The 23,194-nt window shown below is 34.7% G+C and overlaps 1 protein-coding gene across 2 annotated transcripts in view; it reads left to right on the top strand.

The window, feature by feature from the left end:
• KITLG (KIT ligand) overlaps positions 1 to 23,194 on the top strand; it is an 87,679-nt gene that overhangs the window by 46,101 nt on the left and 18,384 nt on the right. Inside the window, exons 3-6 of one of the 2 annotated variants that reach the window (NM_000899.5) lie at positions 1,868 to 1,930; positions 15,504 to 15,674; positions 17,881 to 18,037; positions 18,754 to 18,837. In NM_000899.5, the coding sequence (NP_000890.1) occupies positions 1,868 to 1,930; positions 15,504 to 15,674; positions 17,881 to 18,037; positions 18,754 to 18,837 (475 nt within the window). The remainder of the gene's footprint in view (positions 1 to 1,867; positions 1,931 to 15,503; positions 15,675 to 17,880; positions 18,038 to 18,753; positions 18,838 to 23,194) is intronic. The other variant, NM_003994.6, reaches the window with a different exon arrangement.

Here is a 23,194-nt window from a genome sequence, read left to right as displayed (position 1 = left end):
CAATGATTCTAATATTTTATTTAGGGTGGTATGAAGAAGGTTGATGGTGAAGATTCACAAGTGGAAAATACCCAGAACAAGTGCCCAGAGGGTGTAGAGTGTGAAAATATGTAGTGGAGCTAAGAGACAAGGGAGGCTCTTCTCTCCAGGGACCTGAGTTCTAGTCTAGACTTAACATGTGATGGCTGTGTGACCTTAGTCAAGGCACTTGACCCCTTCTAGCCTCAGTTTCTTCATCTGTTAAATAGAGGTAATATGTCAGCGGGATCTGAGGATAAATTGTAATAATGCAGCCCAAGCCCATAGTGAGCACAGTGCCTAGCACATAGTAAATATTTGATACGTGTTAGACACTGTTACTATTTTATGATTATGTGAACTTAGGGAAGAGGAACCATACTAAGTGCCTCAGTTCAGAGCTGAAATGAGTGTCAGGTGGCATTACTGGAAGTAGGATGGTAGTAAGCACCATGAGATCAGTTACTATCTTAGCTCCCATGTGACTACTTATGCCCATGCCTAAATTCATTTATCAATAAATTGTTCTCAGATTCTAGAAGCTATTGACAAGACCAAGCAGAATCATACAGAAAATGTTATGGTAAACTTGTGCGAGATGACCTAGTCTAGCAAACATGCACATGATCTTAGCTTTCTATAAGGAAGATAAAGTTTTTAGAGACAAGGTGAAGGAAAAAATAAGTCTACAAAGCAAGATAGACCCTTGAAGATGTAATGGTGCAAAACTACTTTTTAATATATGTTATCTTAATACCCAATGGTCTAAGTCAGTTGTTGGCTAAATTATTCATCTGGGAATTTTAATGGTGACATAAGAGAAGGTTGCGGACAGCAAAGTTGGTACAGTGTGTAGGAAGGAAGAGAACCTAGAACTCTGTAACTTACTAGGGTTATATGCCTCCAAAGTCAGTTGCCGGTATAGCTCTCAGTAAAGAACATGGATTGAGTGTTTATAATGTGTTTGGCACATTCATCTGTCTTAATTCTAAATGACCATTTGACATAGGTATCTTGATCTTCATTGTATAAATGAGAGGAACCAACATACAGAGTTTAGATTTGTCCCAGATTCCTTTGTCCTAAACCTATTGCTTATTCACTTATGCCAGAATGACTGATGTAAGTAAGTCAGACGTTATTTAAAGCCTTCAAAAGAACCTAGGCAAATATTTGAGACTTCTCAAATGTTCAGCCGAAGGTAAGAGAATTAAGTTACATCACAAAATGAATCTTTCTAAATTATTTCTTATAAAGCATTTGCATCTCATAAGTAGCATTGTTTTTTTGAAGTTTCACTGATCATTTTTTAGGTTCAACATAAAATAGTTCTCAAATTTGGGTGCACATCGGAATCACCTGGAGGACTTGTTAAGTAAGATTCAGTAGCTCTGGTATGGCCTGAGAATATGCATTTCTGACAGATTCCCTATTGCTGGCACATCACTTTGAGGTCCACATTTTGAGAACCACTGACATAAAAAGCATGTATTTTATGATTAATCCTATGGAGGAACAAGTAGGAAAATAGTCCTTGAGGGGAATTCCAAGATCACAGGTGGAAGCTGAAATTCAGATCATGTTTCCAAAACTCAGTAGGTTATACCTAGCCAGGCATAACTGAATTTGGAGTCTAAAAGATCTGTATTATCACTTTTTTATTTTGAAGGATGCCTTTTGATTACAGAGGGAAATCAAGGATTAAAAATCAATATACATGTAAATATTGAAATTCATTGGTAACTTTAAAAAGCACAACAGTTTTGTGTGCTTTTCTCCAAAGCACTACAAATATGATTAATTGATGTATAAGAATTTTCTTATGGAATTTTTTTTTTTGTCTCTGTAGGTGGCAAATCTTCCAAAAGACTACATGATAACCCTCAAATATGTCCCCGGGATGGATGTTTTGGTATGTAAACTACATTTCTGAGTTTCATTTTAGTAGCTCATAGAAGAAATGGGATCATTCATATTGAGATAGTACACTAGCTGCTATTTAGGAGCTTGCTTATTGTCAGGATTTGAAGAATTTATCTTTGGAATTTGACTTGCAGGCTTTTTTTTCCCCCTCTTAAGCAACTGTTAAACTTTATCAGTGATCATTTCAGCACATATATCCTAGACCTGTATAGTTGTTCTTCACTATCCTTAGGAAATTGGTTCCAGGACACCTTCCGACCCTCCATCCTCCCCACTCACTCCACCATCAGGATACCCAAATCCTAGGATGCTCAAGTCATTTCTATGAATGGCATAGTATTTGCATATAACCTATGCACATTCTTCTGTATACTTTATTTTTAAATTTTTATTTTTCACCATGGAAGGCACACTGGAACTCCTGTGTGTTCCAGGAGTTTAGTTCCAGGAATTTGGAACTAAATTAAATTATTTCTAAATTAATTCTAAATTAATTCTAATACTGAATATAATGCCTATATTACATAAATCATTGTTATGCTCTGCTTTTAAAATTTGCTTTATGTTTTCTTATTGTTTGAATATTTTCCATCTTTGGTTGGTTGAATCCGTGGATACAGAGGGCCATCTGTACTTCCAAAGTAAATACGATTATCTTCTTTAGACCTAGCCACAGATTTTCTCATTTTCCTTAAGCATCCCCCTAAAAAAGGACTTCAGTGTAAGTTTATGTAAATTCTTTTTCATAGCTGACCTACCTCACTTGTTTAATTTGAAAGCACAATTTGATTTACTAGCAGTGCAATAGATTCTTAGAACCTTACAACAAGTGTATGTGTTTACTATTATAAGTACTACTCTGTTGCTGAAACCAAGAAATTTTAATTATTTTTCTCATTACACAGTATCAGAATTCATACATTAAGAAATATTTCAAGCATAGAGAATAATGTAATATCTGTATACCTATCACAGAGCTTATCAAACCTTACCATTGTGCAATATTTGCTTCAAATATATTTTTAATAATGAAACATTACAAATGTAACTAATGCCCTATGTATGCTCCTTCTCTGTCTTCATTAATCCCCAGTTTGTCTCTTAGTGGTAACACTTATTCTGAGCTGGACTTTTTCATTCCAATGTGTGCTTTCAGGGCTTGTAATGTGGACAGCATTCACTAGTGTTATGTAGAGCAGGAGGAGCATTCTCTTATATGTTTACTGCAGTGTATGCACCCATACATAAGACATGGAACTTTTTGAATATTTAATAATTTTATGTTAAGCTTCTATACTTTGAAGTTCGCTTATATCTTTCAACATGCTTTGACAAGTTGTTTTATGTTGACTCATTTCAACTACTGTACTGTGTTTCTTGAGTAAATTTAAAACCATTTGAGTTACTCTCTTCTCTACAACTCTCATCTTTCCATAATCTACCAAAACTTATTAAACATCTACTTTGTGTAGGTTTTGACCAATTTTTGTGGATCAGTCCATCAAAGTTGTTACCAATTTAAACACATCATTATGTGCTTGTGCTTAAAATGCATTTCAAAGACTACAAGGCTGTCATTTCAAGAGAATGTCAAAGCTACATTTCTTTTTATTAGTAAGCATTTTAGCATGAACTACCTAAAGTTTTTTTTAGAATTCCTTAGAACATGTATCTTCATGTTGAACCATTTATCCTCAAGCCTATGTCAATGTCTATCCTATTGAGTTAGGGGGAGTTCTCTGGAAATAGAAATGGAAAATTATTAGCAGCCTGAAAGTTAATTAATTTTATTATTTGGTTACTAAGCAAGTATTTAGTTAGGAAAAACTAACCAGGAGCCAGCACTTTGGCAGACACTTGAAGAAACAAACACACACCAATTAGGCAATGATCTTTAGTTCAAAAAGTTTAGTAATTGGGAAGGCAGGCAGGGGGGATTATGTGGCCTTTTTATAACACTTTTCCATTTGCAAAATGATTTCACATATTAATTTTCTTGGCTGATTAGAAAAACTCTGAGGAAGGTAAAATAGCTATTATGATTCCTATTTTACAAATGATATATTGAGCTTTACAGCGCAAAAGTATTTTGCCCAAGGCTATACAATTAGAACGTGACAGAGTCTTAAAAAGAAACCCGTAGGTCATCAGACTCTTAACCCTGGGTTACGGAAAGTGAGGATCTATATAATTACAACACTTAGGGAAAGTGTTTGAAGGGAAGCCTCTAGGTAATAAAGACCCACCCCAGATCCTTCCTGACTGCAGCAGCATTTAGGATTGTGATTGCCAAGCACCCAAAGATAACCTGCTGCTCTTTGAAAAACAAATGCTAAACTGAAAACAACTAAATAGAATTTTTTGTGCTGGTATAATCATAGAATATGCTAAATCATAGATTTCAATGTCGGCTTGTGATAGCAAGAGCCAAGCTTGTGAAAATAAAGCTGATTCACTGCCACATATTTTGTGCTTGTTTCTGTAATTGAGAAAAATCTACTATTGATTCTGGCATGCTATACTGGCACAACTGGAGAAACACTGTTCTTCTTGGCCACCACCATGGGCAAGAAAAACAAGGCCACGTTTAGAGCATTGGACAGAACCAGGGGTCTCACCCTTTGTTTTACCTTCATTTTGACATGTTCGTTTCTGCGAAGACCAGAGGAGTTTCCCAGTGGGGAGGCCTCTGATTATTTGCGAGTGGTCAGAGTCCCAGCTGCCTTATCTTTTGTCTTTAAACAATAGAGGGTGGAGTGGGAATGGGTGCCAAAAAGATTCTCTGGTGCCAAAGCAATAAAATTCTGCCCATGGGCACTGGGCAGAAGAAAGCTCTAGAATAGAATACACTTTTATTTTTATTTTTATTTTGCCTTCATTTTAAAAAACAGCTAAATTCTCCTAGAAAAGGGAGTTCACTTTTCCAAGGTCCTTCTTAGAAAATTACCTAGCAGATTCTGTCTCACAAATAGCAGGGTGTGATCAACCACTTAGTATTTAAATCTAACGATAATCACCAATGCTATTTTAAACTCTTTGAAACTATTATATTGCCGGACTGTTGAAATTTCCTTTAACTTCCTAACCTTAAAGAATACCTGGATATTTCTGGTCTTTTACATTTACTGGTAATGTTATTGTAGAAAGAATAAAAATGGCATTGCTGAATTGTTGCCACACACCTTCATTCACTTGAACTTCCATAGCATTTACATAAACTGTGGGTTGCTTGTAATATTTGAGTTTAAAAATCTTCATTTTTAAAAAAATTTTTTTATTTTTAGCTATTATGGATACATAAGAGTTGTGTATATTTATGGGGTACACGTGATATTTTGATGCAACCATACAGTGTGTAATGATCAAATCAGAGTAACTGGAATATTCATCAGCTCAACTTTACAATTTCTTTGTGTTAGGAACATTCCAATTCCACTCTTTTAGTTATTTTGAAACAGACATTTTTATTAACTGTGCCACCTATTTTGCTACTGAACACTGGATCTTATTCGTTTTTCAATTTTTACTTAAAGTATATATTCATCAGTTTTCTTTTAGTTTTTTATTTGCAAATAATTTTAAATTTACAAAAACGTTGCAAGAATATTTAAAGAACACCCATGTGCCGTTTAATCCAGATTCACCTATTTCAAGTATTTTTAACATTCTGCCTCATTTGCTTTATCAGTTGCTTTCTTTCTATGTATGCATGTGTGTTTTATTATGTTTCTGAACTTCTTGAATAAGTTGTATACTGATGCATACATGGCCATTTACTCTTAAATACTTCAGTGTGTATTTCCTATGTGAAGGATATTTTCTTACCTAAACACAGTACATTTGCAACTTCAACACATTTTACAATAATTATAGTACTTTAATCTAGGTCTGCATTTCAATTTAGCTTTTTTGTTTTTGTTTTTGTTTTTTGTTTTTTGCATTTCTTTTCCTTCAGTATAAGATCCTATCTAGGATTGGAATTTTCATTTTGATACCATGTAAATAATGACTCCCAAAGATGCCTTGTTTTGGGAATATATTACCTGACATGGCAAAAAGGACTTTGCAGATGTAATTAAATTAAGGATTTATAGATGGAAAAGTTATTTTGGATTATCCAGGTGGTCCCACTCTGATTTACATGAGTTCTTATAAAAGGGAGGCAGGAGTGTCAGAGCCAGAGAGGGAGATTTGAAAATATTACACTGCTGGCTTCAAAGATGGAAGAGGGATTCACAAGCCAAGGAACGCACATGGCCTCTGAAAGCTGGAAAAGGCAAAGAAAATGATTTTTCCTTTACAGCATCCAAAAGAAACACAGCCCTAATGAATACCTTGGTATTAGCCTATTCAGACCTATTTTAAACTTCTGACCTCCAGAACTGTAAAATAACAAATTTGTGCTGCTTTAAGCCACCAAGTTTGTAGTACTTTGTTATAGCAGCAATAATAAGCTACTACATCCTGTCTCTCTAGTCTCCTTTAAGATTTCCTCAGGCTTTCTTTGTCTTTATGGCACTGACATTTTTGAATGAGACAGTCCTCCCCTTTAAGAAAAGTGTTTCTCTTTGCAACATTTGATTGATGTTTCTTAATGCTTCTGTGGAGCTTATGCAATTCAAGTGACAATGCTACGAAAGTGATGATTTGTGCTCAGGTAACCACATCCAGAGGCACACAGAGTCCATCCTCTCCTCATGGTGCTGTTTGTTTTGATCATCTGGTTAAGATGTTCAACTGTTTATGTATATTTACTCATTCACAATTTGGGGAGAGACACTTTAAGGCCATATAAGCAATCCTTCTCCTTCTCAAAGTTTCTCCCACAGATTTAGCATCTATTGATGATACTTACCTGAACCAATCTTTGCTATCATTGTCAGTTTTTCGTTCAGACTTTTTAAAGGCACAGCTAAATATGGAAGTGATTGGCAGCATGTGATGCCACTCTAACAATAAGCCTTCCAAACTTCTTCCCTCTTCAGTACCCTTCCTCAGGTATGCACAATTTCACTTCTTGGCTATTCTCATCTTTTTTTGCCTGGCCCTGTTACTTACCTCTGGGCTCTTTCCATTTTCTTTGATACCTGAGGATTTATTATTTGATGTTTTGATTCTTCCTGAATAGACAGAGTGATTTAAAAAGAAATACATCCAATCATTTCATTCCTGTTTCTTTATATTCATTGAATGGCTTTTTGCTGCTCTTAGGAAACAGGAAAAGGAGCTGCTTCAACAAGGCCTCCAAGACTGTAGTGATCTAGCTGGGCACAGTGGCTCACGCCTGTAATCTCAGCATTTTGGGAGGCTGAGACAGGTGGATCATGAGGTCAGGAGATCGAGACCATCCTGGTTAACACAGTGAAACCCCGTCTATACTAAAAATACAGAAAATTAGCTGGGCGTGGTGGCGGGCGCCTGTAGTCCCAGCTACTCAGGAGGCTGAGACAGGAGAATGGCGTGAACCTGGGAGGTGGAGTTTTCAGTGAGCCAAGATTGCACCACTGCACTCCAGGCTGGGTGACAGAGCGAGACTCCGTCTCAAAAAAAAAAAAAAAAAAAAAAAGACTATACTGATCTGGCACCTTTCCACATCCTTTTTCAGTCCTTTATCGTTATCGTTACCAGTTCCTTGCTGCCACATAGCTTCTTGCCTGGCTTTCTCTATTCCTGGAATCCTGATTGGTTCTTTTGTCTAGCTAACACCTGATTCTTTTAGATTTTGGTTTTGATTTTTGATGAAACCAAATTGTTCTACTGGAAACTCTTCTCATCGCACTCCTCAGAGTAGCAGTTTTGGATGTATTTGTGGGATGATTTAATAGATAATCTTCCACCAACCTGTAAACTTCACAAAGGTAGGAACTATATTCTTTTTGCTCTGCATTAGATTCTCAGTGCCTCATGGATGCTCATATGCATTTAATGAATATTTGCTGAAAGAAAGTGAAGAAAGGAAGGAGGAAGAAAATTTCCCTACCATATAATCATTTGTAATTTCCTTGAGGCACAGATTTGAACTTAGTTCACAAGGTTATAATGATGAGGTGAGTGCCTATAACTCGTCACACAGTATCTGCACTGCAACGTTATTATCTTCTTTTAGATACGTGTGAATTTTTTGAAATATTTTAGGTGTAAGAATTGTATTATGCAATTTTGGGGAATCACAGCTTCTTTAAGCCTTTGGTTCTACTGCTTTAATTGAGTTATTTTTGCATTCAAGAACCTGCTTATTGTTCCCATTTACTAAAGGCTGAGAGCCAGATTCCTGAACCTAATGTTCATGACTCTCTGTAATCCTTCCCTACCCTAACCAACTCATCTGAATACCCATTATTCCCCAACACAAACTTGCCACCTCAGCCACATGCATCACTGCCTCCTAAAATAATGCGCCTGTTCTCAAAGGATGCCCTTTCTTCTCCCATCCACTTATCCAAATTCTACCCATAGAATCATGCAATATCTTGGGGCTTAACCCATCTTAGTGGTCATCTCCTCCAAGGTCAGTTTAAGATTTCTCTTTCACACAAGGACATTTTCTGCTCTTTCAGCCCACATTTTCTCTCCCATGTATCATTTGATCAGGTGCTACTCTGTGCTGAGTGTTTTGCTTGATGCTGGAGCTTGGTGGTCAGCAATACTATCATTGCACCTGCTATGTGGACCCTATCTTTTAGTTTATTATCTTGTGACTTCTATGGAATTTGTCCAGAAGCTATTCATCTTGGGTACATGATCATATATTGCTTACATAGAGCTTAATATTTTAAGTGTTATATATTTGTCTCAAAGTATTATCGTGAGAAATAATTAAAATACAAAAAATATGAGTTGTGGTGTGCATATAATAACATCAGATACCATCATTATTATTTTGTTGTTGTGTTCTCTTTTTACTATATTTTGACTATCTACAGAGCAAGGTTGAAATCTTTTACTCCTGTGTATCTCCTCACCATTCTTTAGACAATCCAATGCATATAGTCGCTCCTCAAAAAATAGTTATGAATAAACATTTAACTCTTGGCAAAAATGCTAGATTTCCAAATCTTGAAGGAGCCCATCTTATTAGTTTAGATTCCTGTGGTTTTCACTAATAGTAAAAGTCCCATTATTATAAGGACACTAAAGAATAGCATGTCACCTAAGGGCATGGGTGCAACAGGCCCCATGAAAAGACTGGAACCAGGATTGGAAACTATCAGTTTTTCCTTCTCCATCTCTGAATCTCTGTTTCTCCGCCTCATTCTATTTGTGCAGATATTTTCTCCTTTGTTCCAGTCACTTGGTAGAATGTAACTGCCCAAGAGCTGCCAGGTTTACATATTTCAATTTCAGCCCTATTCAGAGATTAATTATCAGTTTCTAATGATCAATACCAATTTTGGGGAGGAACGTTCTGGTTGGCCTATCCAAGTCAGGTGTCTACCATCATCCAACCAACTATGGCTACAGGGAAAGTTCACCGTTTGTAAGCATGGATTCTGAGGCTCCACTCCTATGATGCGGCATTCTCTCTATAAAAATAGACGTCAGCCAAATAGACACTTGTAGTCAACTATTTATCTGCCTCGATCTCCCATGTAATAAGAAAGTATTTATTTAAAAGGAATAAGCATAAAATGTTAGTTGAATGAATAAAATATGACATTAAATGCTATTTTAAGTAGTTCTTTTGTATACTGTACTACAGCACAGGGGCCCGTCTTCCTAATAAGTGATTATATTAAGATGCTGTTCAGATTATCTAGGCCATTATTCTCTGATAGAAATACAATGGAAGCCACGTTCATAATCTTAATTGTCTGGTAGCAACACTAAAAAAAAAATAAATAAAAACGAGCAGCTGAAATTAAGTATAATGAAATTTATTTAGCCCCATGTATCCAAAATATTGTCATTTCACCTTAAAATCAATATAAAAATTATTAATGGAATGTTTTATATGTTTCATATTATTCAAAATCCACAGTGTGTTTTACATCTGCAACATATTACAGTTCATACACTAAATTTTCATTAGAAATAGTTATTCCATATTTAGATTTTTTAATAAAATTTACCATTGAGAAGATAGTCACATTTCTGTGTTTTCCAAACATACTTAAAAGTTCCAGCCTCTAAATAGGGTGATATTATTGACTTTTCAATTTAAAGAAATTATAATTAAGTAAAATGAAAATTTTAGCTCTGCAGTCACATTCAATGCATTTTGAGTGAGAGGAGCTGCAGATGGATAGTGGGATTCCCATATTGGCCAGCATCGATTAGAATTTATTTTATAGATGGAGAAACTGAAGCCCTGAATAGATTAAATGACTTGCCTGAAATCACAAAGTGAATTGACAGAGTTGGGACTAAAAACTGGGCCTCTAGTTCATCGTTGCTGCCCTCACTCCCCAAACCCCTGTGCTGTTCCTTCACTGTTCTATTTTAGGGCGGGCCTAGGGGCCATTTATAGGTCTGCCCTGGGAAATAACACATATTTAGAGTGCTTTGGTTGATTACCATCTTAATCAGATTGAGATTTCTACGGCACTTTAATTCAAACAAGAAATGTAAAGTTAGATGCCTAAAGTGAACACTGAAGACCCAAATTAATTGTTTAGGGAGAGGACTAAAATAAATCATTACAAAACCCAGCTAATCCAAAGAGAAGTTAAGATTTCGGAGACTACACTGGCAACATGAACATGCAATATTTTGCAAAGTGCTTTTATAGGAAACTTTTAAATTTGCCTGCCCATGGAATGTTTGAGAGTAGAATGTCAGCTTTCTAGCCACAACGAAAAAAACCAAAAGAACAGTAAATAAAGTCCACAAATGGCAATTGTCACAATTCCTCAGAGAAATTTACCTTCATTGGTATGACTCTGGATTAACTGAAATGAAACAGAAAGAACCATTTCTATTCCAAAGAGATTTCTTAATTGAGCCGAAGAATCGTGTCTGGTCCAGACGTGAGACCACATGGGTCATAGTGAATTCAGCAGAAAAAAACACTTCAGTTTTATGTGCTTTCACTATTCTCATGGCTACTAGAACAAAATGAGTGATCGAGAGTCCTGGTTTCTCGCGTTTCTGTGTAAATTTGTTATGTAACCTGGAACGAGACACTTCACTACTCTAAGCCTTGATTTTCCCGCTTATACAATTGGTGAGACTGGTCCTCAGTATTCCTTCTAGGTCTGGAATTCTGGTGATTCTGATGACATGGCTCTAGATTTTGATTGCACATCCCAGAGGTAGATGCTGAAAGCACAAACAGAAAGGTACACTTCGTGCCCTAGGCATGCATACGTCTAATTCCAGCAAGACTGAAGTTTGACACGAATTAAAGAAAGTAAAACAAAAACAAACTGGGTGGTAATGCTGGTATTTAGATTAATCAGATTAGAAGGCTGGGTGAATACTCCTTATGAATATTCTTAGAAACCTCATAGTTTATGAGCCAGGCTTTTCACTCTGAGAATCTCTAATTGGTATTTCACCAACTCCTGTGAAAAGAACGTTCTCACTGGGTAGATACTAGCTTTAGGCCCTATAAGAAAGAACATAGATATCTCTCTGTGAATAGCTACCAAATTGAAAGTAATGTAAAGTGCTTCAGTGAAGAAGTGTTACAGTATTATTTTGTCTACTTTCAGCTTCTTAATCCGTAAATCTTACCGTGACTGCTCTTAAAGACTGTCTGTGGGGTGGGCGCGGTGGCTCACTCCTGTAATCCCAGCACTTTGGGAAACCGAGATGGGTGGATCACCTGGAGTCAGGACTTCAAGATTAGCCTAGCCAACATGGTGAAATCCCATCTCTACTAAAAAAACAAAAGTTAGCTGGGCGTGGTGGCAGATGCCCGTAATCCCAACTACTCAGGAGGCTGAAGCAGGAGAATCGCTTGAACCCAGGAGGCAGAGGTTGCAGTGAGCTGAGACCACGCCATTGCACTCCAGCGTGGGCGAGAAGAGCAAGACTGTCTCAAAAAAAAAAAAAAAAAAAAGACTGTGCATCTAATACCAATGTGGAATAATGTGTCAAATTATTTCACCTAATAAACCAGCACAGTTTCTTGAATGAGGCAGGAGATAGAGAGGAGAAAGCATGCCAGAATTAGCAAGTCTCCAGGATGATTTTAAAACACATGGTTTATTTCAGCCGGTTTCTCAAATTTACTGGTTCTGGAACTACAGAGATTCTGTGTCACATATTCTGTGGAATTAATATATTACCTTTTAAAAATTTATGCTTAGTCTTAGAATGTGCATATATTTCTGTTGTTGGTCTTTGGAAACAGTCATATTCCTAGTTATGTTTAGAATACTTTTAATTTTATTCATTTTAAATTATATATTTTATTTAATCATTTAGCGAGATCATGATTTGGTGTTCATGGTACTTTAAAATTCCTAAGGAAGTTCACAGTTTTTGACTGAATTGTCAGTGGTAGTGAGATGCTAGCAGTCCAATATCATTGAGTCAATATCATTGAGTCAGTTTGGATTCTAGAATAATAACATGTTATAAGTACATAGGGATAGAAAGCACATGTTTTTAGTAGTCCTAGCTAGAGCTGCTATAATTAACCAAGAAAACATAAGACAGAAGCTATCAAGAAAGAAGGTAAGAAATTGAGAGCATGGAGTCAAGAAAAAAGTTTTTACACTCAAAGCAGAATCTATATGTTTCTTCTTTTGGAAACAATACATACAGGCGAATAAAGCATCAAATTACATGCACATCAGGAATTTAAAAGCAATCATTTGTGTCACCTTTGACATCCTGTATGACTGTCAATTTTCTTAATCCTTTATATTTTCTAGTGAAAGAGAGAACATTATATCTTACTTTCTTCTAATGAATATCATTGAGTAAATATTTATATAAAACTATTTAAGTTTAAAATATCTCTGAAAAATAAGAAACAGTGATAATATCATTTATTAAGGCAAACAAAAAGTACGTTTGTAAATTTGACAATCTTTAATCATTTATTTCATAATCATAATCGTGGAGGAATTGAAAAACAGAAAGACCTGCTATCACCTCACAAATGAAATACTTAGTTCATTGTGTTTTATTCTCCTTGCAAATCATTGACGATATTTAATTAAAAATTACAAAACTGCTAGACATTCCAGTCAAAACTAGTTTCCTCTCTTACAAGCAGGCAGATCAAAACTGACTGACATTTAATATTATTTGTTTACCTTCATTTTATCTTTAATAAACTCAAGAATCTTAAAAAGCCAATATATACATGGTTAAACAAATTACTGAAAAATAGAACTTTGAATTTATGATTCAGCCTTTTCCAAAGAAACAATAGCACAAGCAAAAATAAAAAATGAGTGAAACATGATTACAAGTGTTTTAGAAATACACGATTTTTCAGCTGTGTAGGCACGTAGTTTATATCAACTATCAACAAATTGTTCATGACTTTAGAAGGGCAAACATTAGAGTAGGATTAGATTGTGGAATTTCCATGGTTTAACTCTAAGAAAGCACAGGATTGGGGTTGGAAATTTTACTGGAAAGAGTTGATTGTTTAGACTGTTGATTTAGTTATGTGAAAATGGGAGGAGGTAGGGTAATAGCTAAATAGGAACTAGAATATAAAATGTAAACATAGAGTTCGGTTGAAAATAGTGATCAACAGAAGTGGCAGTAAGTACCCCAGAATTCCTCAGCTTAAAAATAAGAAACAAATCAACAAAACATTTTCTACTTTAACCACAAAAAAAAAGCAAAATGAACAAAGTACCCATTCATATAAGACAACTACCACAGAAACTAAAGGAATGTCTTAATTCAAAACAAGGAATTTGATTTTGGTTCTTACTTGCCAGAGATCCTAGGCAAGCATACTCATAAAGTGAGGAAATAGAGTCCTAAGAGATTAATACCTGGAATTTCATTGTTAGAAAAATTTGCACAATTTCAACGGAATGAATTGGTGAAAGCTACTCTATCACATAAATACTATTCAAATAGCAATTTACAGTGTATGCTGTGTTCCATATCCTAGGAAATCTGTTCATTGTTGATAGGGCTGACGGTCTATAAGGAATTATCACTCCCTAAAAGGAAAGAAACTTGCAGAGCAATTCAGCATCCAAGGAAAGACTGACAGCTTTGAAAGAGACCTGATAATGATGCAAGTAGGAACTTGCATGTGCTTGAAGTAAGCACTGATTTAACAAAACAAAGACTCTGTTCTGCACATACTTTGGAAACACATATTCTTTGAGAACTTGGTTATGACGAGTTGAAATGGCCACTTGAACTAAATTCCCATGTTGAGATTTGTTTATCCTTCTTATCTGAAGCCAGAGCCAACAATCCTAAAAGTTTTGAGTGACATTTAATGGTTCCAGGAATTGGGGCTTACCTATCTGCAGATAAACCTGCTTCCTTTTTGGCTGTATTATATTAAGTAAAACAGTTCTGTTAAATGAATATAAAGTGGTCCCTTCTATACTTTAGAATAAATAAATGACTTGAGCCAGATGCAGTGACTCACGCCTCTAATCCCAGCATTTTAGAATGCTGAGGAGGGAGGATTGCTTGAGGCCAGGAGTTCAAGAGCAGCCTGAGCAGCAAAGCAAGATCCCATTTATATAAAAAAATTAAAAATTAGCCACACTTGGTAGCATGCGCCTTGTAGTGCCAGCTACTTGGGAGGCTGAAGTGGGAAGATCACTTGGGCCCAGGAATTCAACATTGCAGTGAACCATGATTGCACCCCTGCACTACAGCCCAGGACTCAGAGAGAGAGCCTGTCTCTGTAAAAAATTAAAGCATAAATAAATAAATAAATAAATAAAAGGCTTGACTTTTCCCACAGAGATATTCTGCTGGTAAATAGAGAAATAAAGCTTAGTAGTTTGATTTATTTTCCATGACATCAGTTACTCTGAGTACAATATTTTTGTTACAAGTTGTATTAAATTATTTGTGCTTTTAATGAGCCAATTCAATGTTATTCTTAATAACAATGTTATTTTTGTCACTGCAGCATTTCAGCAGTGTTCAAAATACATCAGAGTTTCCACTTAAAAGATCTTTATAAGAGAAAAGATAACACATTAAAATCATATAAAGCATGCAAACTTACAACCTCCTCCTCCTGTTACAAGAGTCCCTCCTCCTATTACAATAGTCCCTCCTCCTCCTGTCACACTAGTCCCTTCTCTTCCTGTTACAATAACCCCTGTCCTCCTATTACAACATTTTAAGTAATGTAATATTAATTTTAAAAATCTGGCCAGGCACGGTGGTTCATGCTTGTAATCCCAGCACATTGGGAAGCTGAGACGGGTGGATCATTTGAGGTCAGGAAGTTTGAGACAGCCTGGCCAACATGGTGAAACTTCCTCTCTACTAAAAATAAAAAAGTAGCCAGGCATGGTGGCAGGCACTTGTAATCTGAGCTACTCGAGAGGCTGAGGCAGGAGAATCACTTGAGTAACTAAAACGATAGCTTTGAAGAGTACTCCGAGTTTTATGGCACTTACTTATTAAAATAGCTGTTTTGTCTCTTTTTTCATATCTTGCAGCCAAGTCATTGTTGGATAAGCGAGATGGTAGTACAATTGTCAGACAGCTTGACTGATCTTCTGGACAAGTTTTCAAATATTTCTGAAGGCTTGAGTAATTATTCCATCATAGACAAACTTGTGAATATAGTGGATGACCTTGTGGAGTGCGTGAAAGAAAACTCATCTAAGGTAACTTTGTGTTCATTGGGATTATTTTTCATTACGCTTCTCTAAAAACCCATGCTTCTTGGTGCTGTTGGGGAAAATGAGGCACCTTTATTTATGATATTTTGATTGTATAAACTTCAAATTTAAAAATCTTGTTCAGATGAGCAAAGAAAACAAGTATTTGCAGTTATACTGCAATACTGAAGTGCACATTCAAACTTAAATGTTGTCATCTAATACAAAAATAAAACTTATTTACATTACAATGCAAAATCAGTCCTGCCTTTATCTTTATTCTTCATAAGTGAAGTCCTTGAAACCTTTCTATTAAGTTACAAGTGTTCATTTAAATGGAAAATTGTCTGTAATAAACACATATCCTTTTATGCATAATGTAATCACCCCATAGGTCACAGCAAAGGAATACATTTTGGCTCCTCAAAGTCATTGGATAACTGATCATCACCAACTTCAGGATATGGGCATGACATATGGAATAGGCAATGTACTCCAGAAAATAAGAGTGAGATATTGGAGTTTAAATTCTGGCTCTGTCGCTAATGAGTTCTGTGAGCGTAACTTCTTTGTACCTCACTTTCTTTATCTTTAAAATGGGGGCAATGCCAGAATTCATCTAACAGGGTCGACGTTAGGTTATTTGCCATGAGTACTTTAACACCCTACCTAGCAAAATAAATATTAATAAAATTTGATGTTTTTTCATCACACTGTGTCTATAGCAAAATCATGCTTAGGAGACCTGATTTGGTATACAGTTCAAATGGCCAAAGATTAGCTTAGGAGACTTATGTAAGTTTAAATTCAAAGTTTTAAGCAGGATTCTGTACCTTAATACCTAAATGCTTTTTCCTGTGTCCCATCTAAATTCCAGCTATTCTGTAAGACCCAACTTCAATCCCATTTGTACTATCCTATCTTATAATTCTTACCATACTAATAATCCAATCACTACCTTTAATCTTTGTATTATTTTCTAATTTCCAAAGTCAGAATGTGGTGTTAACCACTCTTTCATATTACTACTGCATATAGTGTGCCAATGGCATTCAAAAGAAGTAGAGATCACAAAAAGTAGAGTGCATCACACAAGGTGTCACAAAGGAAATAACATGTGCATTAGAGCCTTAAAGATGAGTTAGGTAAATGAGTTAGGTCAATGGTGATGTTGGGAAGAACACTGCAAACAACAAAGAATGTGCATTTACTAATCATGGCACTTTGGTGGGAACCCAGGAGATTACCAATTATATTTCTCAGTTGTTTTGGAGATTGAGTTACTGTATATAAAGCACTTAGAATAGTCCATAGTAAGTAACAGATAGTTGTTTATTTTGGTTACCTACTTTTCTTTATAATCCATTATGTATCCCTACAACATAGCTTTGATTTGCTTTGGGGAATTTTATATTAATTTTATATCAATTAATCATACCATTTTTATTATTTTGGGACTTGCCTCTTTCACTCAGCTTTAGGTTTAGAAGATGTATCCACTTTAAAGCATATAGCTGTAGTTAACCTTCTCTTGAATTGAACTCCACTAATTCAATATATCACTAGTTATTAAGCCACTCTGTCTGGATTGACATAAGTGATACAGATATTGCTGCAAAAAAACTTTTTTATATGTCTGATGGTATATATGTGCAATAGTTTCAGTAGGTTATTTACCTGAGAATGGAATTTCTGAGTCACAGGATGGTCACATGTCTAACTTTACTGGATAATATCAAATGTACCAACTTACATTATCTCAGCAGTATGTAAGAGTTCCCTTGCCAATATTTAGTATCATCTGACTTTCTAATTTTTGGATATTAGAGCATGCATTATGGTGTGGTTTTTTTTTTTTTTTTCTAAAGACTGGAAGTTCTTGTAATGGAGGGGTCTTTTAAAAATAAACCCTCATGTTTTTAATGAGCATCTCTAAAGAAAAATATCCCCAGCTTGTTTTTAAGGTTATTTATTTTATTTTATTTTTTGCCATGACATTGTGTTCACTGCCCCAGATTCAACTTGTGATCCCACTGGGATCACTACCCTGCATTACCAATCTGAATTACATACGTTAAAACAGCCATCTAAAAGTGCTAGTTGTAAGAGTCTAAATACTTGAATCTTTGAGAGACATATTTATAGTCCATTATCTTCACCTCAGTTAAGTCTGAAGACTATTTGAAAAATGTAATCCTATTTTTTCTTCTAGGATCTAAAAAAATCATTCAAGAGCCCAGAACCCAGGCTCTTTACTCCTGAAGAATTCTTTAGAATTTTTAATAGATCCATTGATGCCTTCAAGGACTTTGTAGTGGCATCTGAAACTAGTGATTGTGTGGTTTCTTCAACATTAAGTCCTGAGAAAGGTAAGACATGTAAGCATTTCCAGTTCAAATGTAAACAACAAACTTAAATCTTCCCTATGTAGTAAGAATCTACCTCTGTGTTAAGCTGTAGCAAGATACATGCATGTACGTCTAATAAAAAAGCAGATATCAATAGCACAGAAGAAACTAATGATTGTAGATTTGTGGGTTTCTAACCCAAAGCAATATTCATCAGTTTCAAATTAGTGAGCTGTTTGTGAGTAAACAATATATGAGATGGCCACTCATACCTTTTCTCATCTAATATTTGCCAGTAATTACAATTATATTATTCTGTACCTCCAGTCTACTTAATGGTCCTTCTCAAATTTTTTCTTAAGGATCTAACTCTAAGTCACAAATTCTGATCCTCCCCAGTTACTCTGTATTAAGACTCTTTTTTCCCTTCACTGGGTCCCTATAATACAAACCTGGATTCATTGCTTTCTTTTTTTAATGAGAAATTACCATCAATGTGTCATTATTTGTATTTATTAACATATTTATTCAATAAGTATTTGTTCTACAAGGTGATAATGGTGGATTTCTTAGTAAAATAGAATAGCAGGACCCAGTATGAAATAAATAGGATCTGAATACTCTAGATTTGGGAAGCAGACCTGGCAAGTAATCTGGTATTGCACTTCACCTTTCAGGGACTCTATAACTCATACAAATCACCATATAACACTGACACATTATTGCTTTCTATTTAGATTCCAGAGTCAGTGTCACAAAACCATTTATGTTACCCCCTGTTGCAGCCAGCTCCCTTAGGAATGACAGCAGTAGCAGTAATAGTAAGTACATATATCTGATTTAATGCATGCATGGCTCCAATTAGCACCTATAGGAGTATTGCATGGGCTTTCAAGGAAACTTCTACATTTATTATTATTGATACTGTTCTGTTACTGTTATTCCTTTTATGGTCTTCTTGAGACTTAAGTTTGTAGAATTAAATTTCCCTAGAGCTGGAGATAATGTTTAGAGAATTAGGCCAATAAATTTTCTGCTGAGGTTATTTTAAATAAGACATAAAATTAATTTTAGAAATATGATTTATGCCTTTTGTTGAATCATTAACATATATTCTGTGTGGAATGTGTCTGACAAAAACGGAAGTTTAAAATTAAGTGTATAAATGCTGGTTGTTAACATATATTCTGTGTGGAATGTGTCTGACAAAAACGGAAGTTTAATTGTATAAATGCTGGTTGTATAGAATTCCAAAGATATTTTCAGATTTGTGTATATCAGTATTTACTATTGCGCATTTGGAAATTTGATGATTTTGTTATTTTACCACAGAATTATATGCTTGATGAGAATAGGCTTATTTTTCTGAAATTTCTGTCCTCTTTTGCCAAGAACCCAATTTTCTTTGAAAATCCAGACAAAGGTCATTATAAAGTTTATTGTATTTACTAAATACTCTCTAGCCTCATGGAAGGTGCAGGAAGAATAAAAACCATCTTGTGATCTAGGCTAAAAAAGTCATCCCTTAGGACTTATAAATGGGGCACTGTCATTTGTTCAGGGACTTAGAAGACCTATCTGTGAAAAGAAGTAATCAATTTATTACTAATTCATAATAGCTTGTTACAATGCAGAACATTTAAAAAAACTCTAAAATACAATTTACTTATTTTGGAATTTTTTGCCACCAAAACCTGACCTGAAGTGATTTGAGGCTATTTATAGTCTATTTATCTTTCTAAAAGTGAATATATATTTTACTAATGAAATATTAATGTATTTGATTACAGAATGCTACCCAGGATTCACTGGGGATAGTATATGTTATACATTATGTGCAGGACAGAATCTTCTGAAACCTAAAATTCTAAATTACGTAGCATATCAGTTCTAAAATGTGTCAAAAAGGGACTAGAGCCCTGTTTGTGTGTTAGTCAATTAAGGGTTTTCTTACCAACTATGGATTTTATTAACATTTTCAAAGGAGCAACTTTTGTCTTCTTAAATTCTCTGCTTATATTTCATTGATTTCTAATCTTTATTATTTCCTTCCATTTGCTTTGTGTTTCATTTACTCCACTTTTTCTAGCTTTTCGAAGTGGAAAAATTAGATCATTGATTTTAAACTATTTTTGCTAATTACAAGCACTTAAAGGTATAAATTTTCTTAAATACACTGCTTTAGCTGCACCTCACACATTTTTGTGTTGTGATTTTATTATTTTTCTAAATATTTGTCAACTGTGATTTCTTCTTTGATTCATGGATAATATAAAAGTGCGTTGTTTGATGTCAAAAAGTTTGAGATTTTCCTATATATCTTATTGTTACTAGTCTATGAATTTTGTTGTCAGAAAACATACTCTATAATTTTTTTGAAATGTACTGAAACTATTTTATGTATGTTATTTAACTGTTGAATGCAGCATTCAAATTTGGCCAAAATGGTTGATAGTGTTGTTTATATCTTCCCTTCCTTATTAAGCTTTTTGTCTAATTTTTATTAATTATTGAGAAAAGGGAATTGAAAATATTAACTTTTGATTGTGGATTTGTCTGATTTTCCATTTGGTTTTGGGTTTTTTGCTTCATATATTTTAAAGCTTTATTATTATGGGCTTATACATTGATTATTGTTAGATCTTCCCTGTTTAATTGACCTTTTAATCTTACTGAAATATCCCTCATTATCTCTGATAGTGCTTTTTGTCTTGAAGTTTATTTTGTCTGATATTAGAGCAAATCTTTCTTATGCTTACTGTTTTCATGGTATATGTTTGGCTTTCCTTTATTTTCAGTCTGTTGTCTGTATTTTTAAAGTACATCTCTAGTAGACAACATACACTTGGGCTTCACTATTTTATTTAGTGTATCTCTGATTGTTAATTAGAGTGCTTCATCCATTTCTATGTAATAAATCATTGGTATAGTTGGATTTTAATCCACCATTTCCTTACTTGTTTTTTATCTGTCCCATTTGTGTATTGACCTTCTGTTCCTTATTTCTAGCCCTTTTTTTTTGGTTAATTATTTTTTTTCTAGTGTTTAATTAGTGTTGGATTTTCAACAGCACCCTTTTGCATTATTTTGTGGTTATTTTGGAAATTAAAGTATACACTTTAACTTGTAATATTCTACTTAGAGTTACTATTGTAGCACTTGAGAAAAAAATGCAAGAACCTTGAAACAGGGTAGTTTTATTTACCCATACCCATCTTTTGTGTCATCATTGACATATATTAACATATCTACATCAGTTATAAATTTCACAATACAGTCTACAATACACAATGCAGTTCAATTATTTCTTTGAACTGTCATACGTATTTTAAAGTAAGAGAAGAAGAAATATATTGTCTTTTATATTAACCTGCATATTTATTATTTCCTGTACCCTTCATTCCCTCTTGTCAGTCCAGGTTTCCATTTGGTATTAATTTCCTTCAGGCTGAAAAACATTCTATAGCATCTCTTATAATACAGATCTGCTGGCAACAAATTCTTTTTTCTTTTTAATTGGAAAATATCTTTGTTTTGTCTTCCATGTAGCAGGTACTTTTTACTAGATATTGAAGTCTGGGTACACAGGATTTTTTTTCTTTTAGTCTTTTAAAAATATCACTATAGTATTCCTGCAGTTATTGTTTCTGAAAAAAATAAAAAAGGTAGCCACCATTTGTCTTATTTTTACCCTGTATGTACAGGGTCATTTCTTCCTCTGCGTTCTTTCAAAGTGTTCTCCTTTTTAACATTTGAGCTAGAATATGCCTATGAGTGGTTTTCTTTGTATTTATCTTTCTTGAGATTTGTCAAGCTTTTGGATCTATATATTTGTTTTCCCTCAAATTTGGGGAAAAAATAGTCATAAATTTTTCAAATTTTTTAATCCATTTTATCTATCCTCTCATTCTGAGATACTACTTGCATATATGTTAGCAGATTGCTAGTGTGTCATAGGTCGCAGAAGTTTTGTTCATTTATTTATCCTCTTTTCTCTGTGTTCTTCTGAGTAATTTCTACTTGTCTGCTTTCAAGTTCATTGACCTTTTGTTCTGCCATCTCTGATCTGCTGAATTTTTCATCCAGTGAATTATTCTATTTATGAATTTATATTTTCTGTTCTAGAATGTCCAGTTAATTGTTTAATGTATTTCATATTTCTCTGCTGGAATTTTCCATCTGCATACTCATTATGAAAAAAAATTCTTTTTTGTCACTTAAATATAATAGCTGCTCTAAAGTTCTTGTCTCCAAATTTCAACACATAGGTCATCTCAGAGTTGATGTCTATTGACTTCTTCCTCTCTGATTAGGGGTCACATTTCCTTTTAAATGGTTAGTGATTGTTTAATATATGCTGGATATTATGAATTCTATGCTGTTGAATATCTTTCAGATTCTATAGCGTTTCTTTAGAGGCTATTGAATTGTGTTTTGGTAGGAGGTTCGAATAGTAGCAGATGAGGTTTATCTTTTCTCCCAGCCTTGTTTTTAAACTTTCTTGGGTACAAGGGAAAGTAGCCTTATTCCTAAGGCATGGAATATCTGAGATATCTGTAAAGTGCTCAGAAAATCTCTCCAATATTGCTTGTCTTAATAATTTTGTCCCCATTGTTCTGTGTCTGCTAGGGCCTCTACTAAGATTATAGCTTCCCATGAGTTTGGTGTTTGGTTATTTTTTTTTATTATAATTTTATTTTTTGGTCAGGTTTTGTGACTTCTCTACTGGTGCATATACAGCTTATTATTGGACCAGTAACTTAAGGAGATTCATCTAGGGATTTCTGATGCTCCTTCTTTGCACAGCTCCCTTCTTCCAAATAACCTAGATCTAGAAACTCCAGCTGCATCGGCAGCCCTGAACTTCAATCTCTGACTCCCTAGCTTAGTGAGGCCATTGGTCCTTGTTTGAACTCTGTCTTCCACACCTCAATCTGAAAGTGCACCCCAGACAGGAGAGCTGAAAGCCAGAAAACCAGGGCAAACATGAGCCTCACTTAGTGTGGATGCCCTGTCTCGTGAATTACACATTTGTACTGCTGTTCACTAATTTCTGAAAAGAGTTGCCTCATAATTTGTCTAGAATTATAATTACTTAGGTTGGAAAGGCTAGTCTGCTACCATCGTATTTGGAAACAAAAGTCTTTCCTACTAATTTTAAAAGACAAACTAAATATA

Source organism: Homo sapiens, chromosome 12 (assembly GCF_000001405.40).
Source record: "Homo sapiens chromosome 12, GRCh38.p14 Primary Assembly".
NCBI lineage: Eukaryota > Metazoa > Chordata > Mammalia > Primates > Hominidae > Homo > Homo sapiens.
This window is presented reverse-complemented; position numbering and strand designations above follow the sequence as displayed.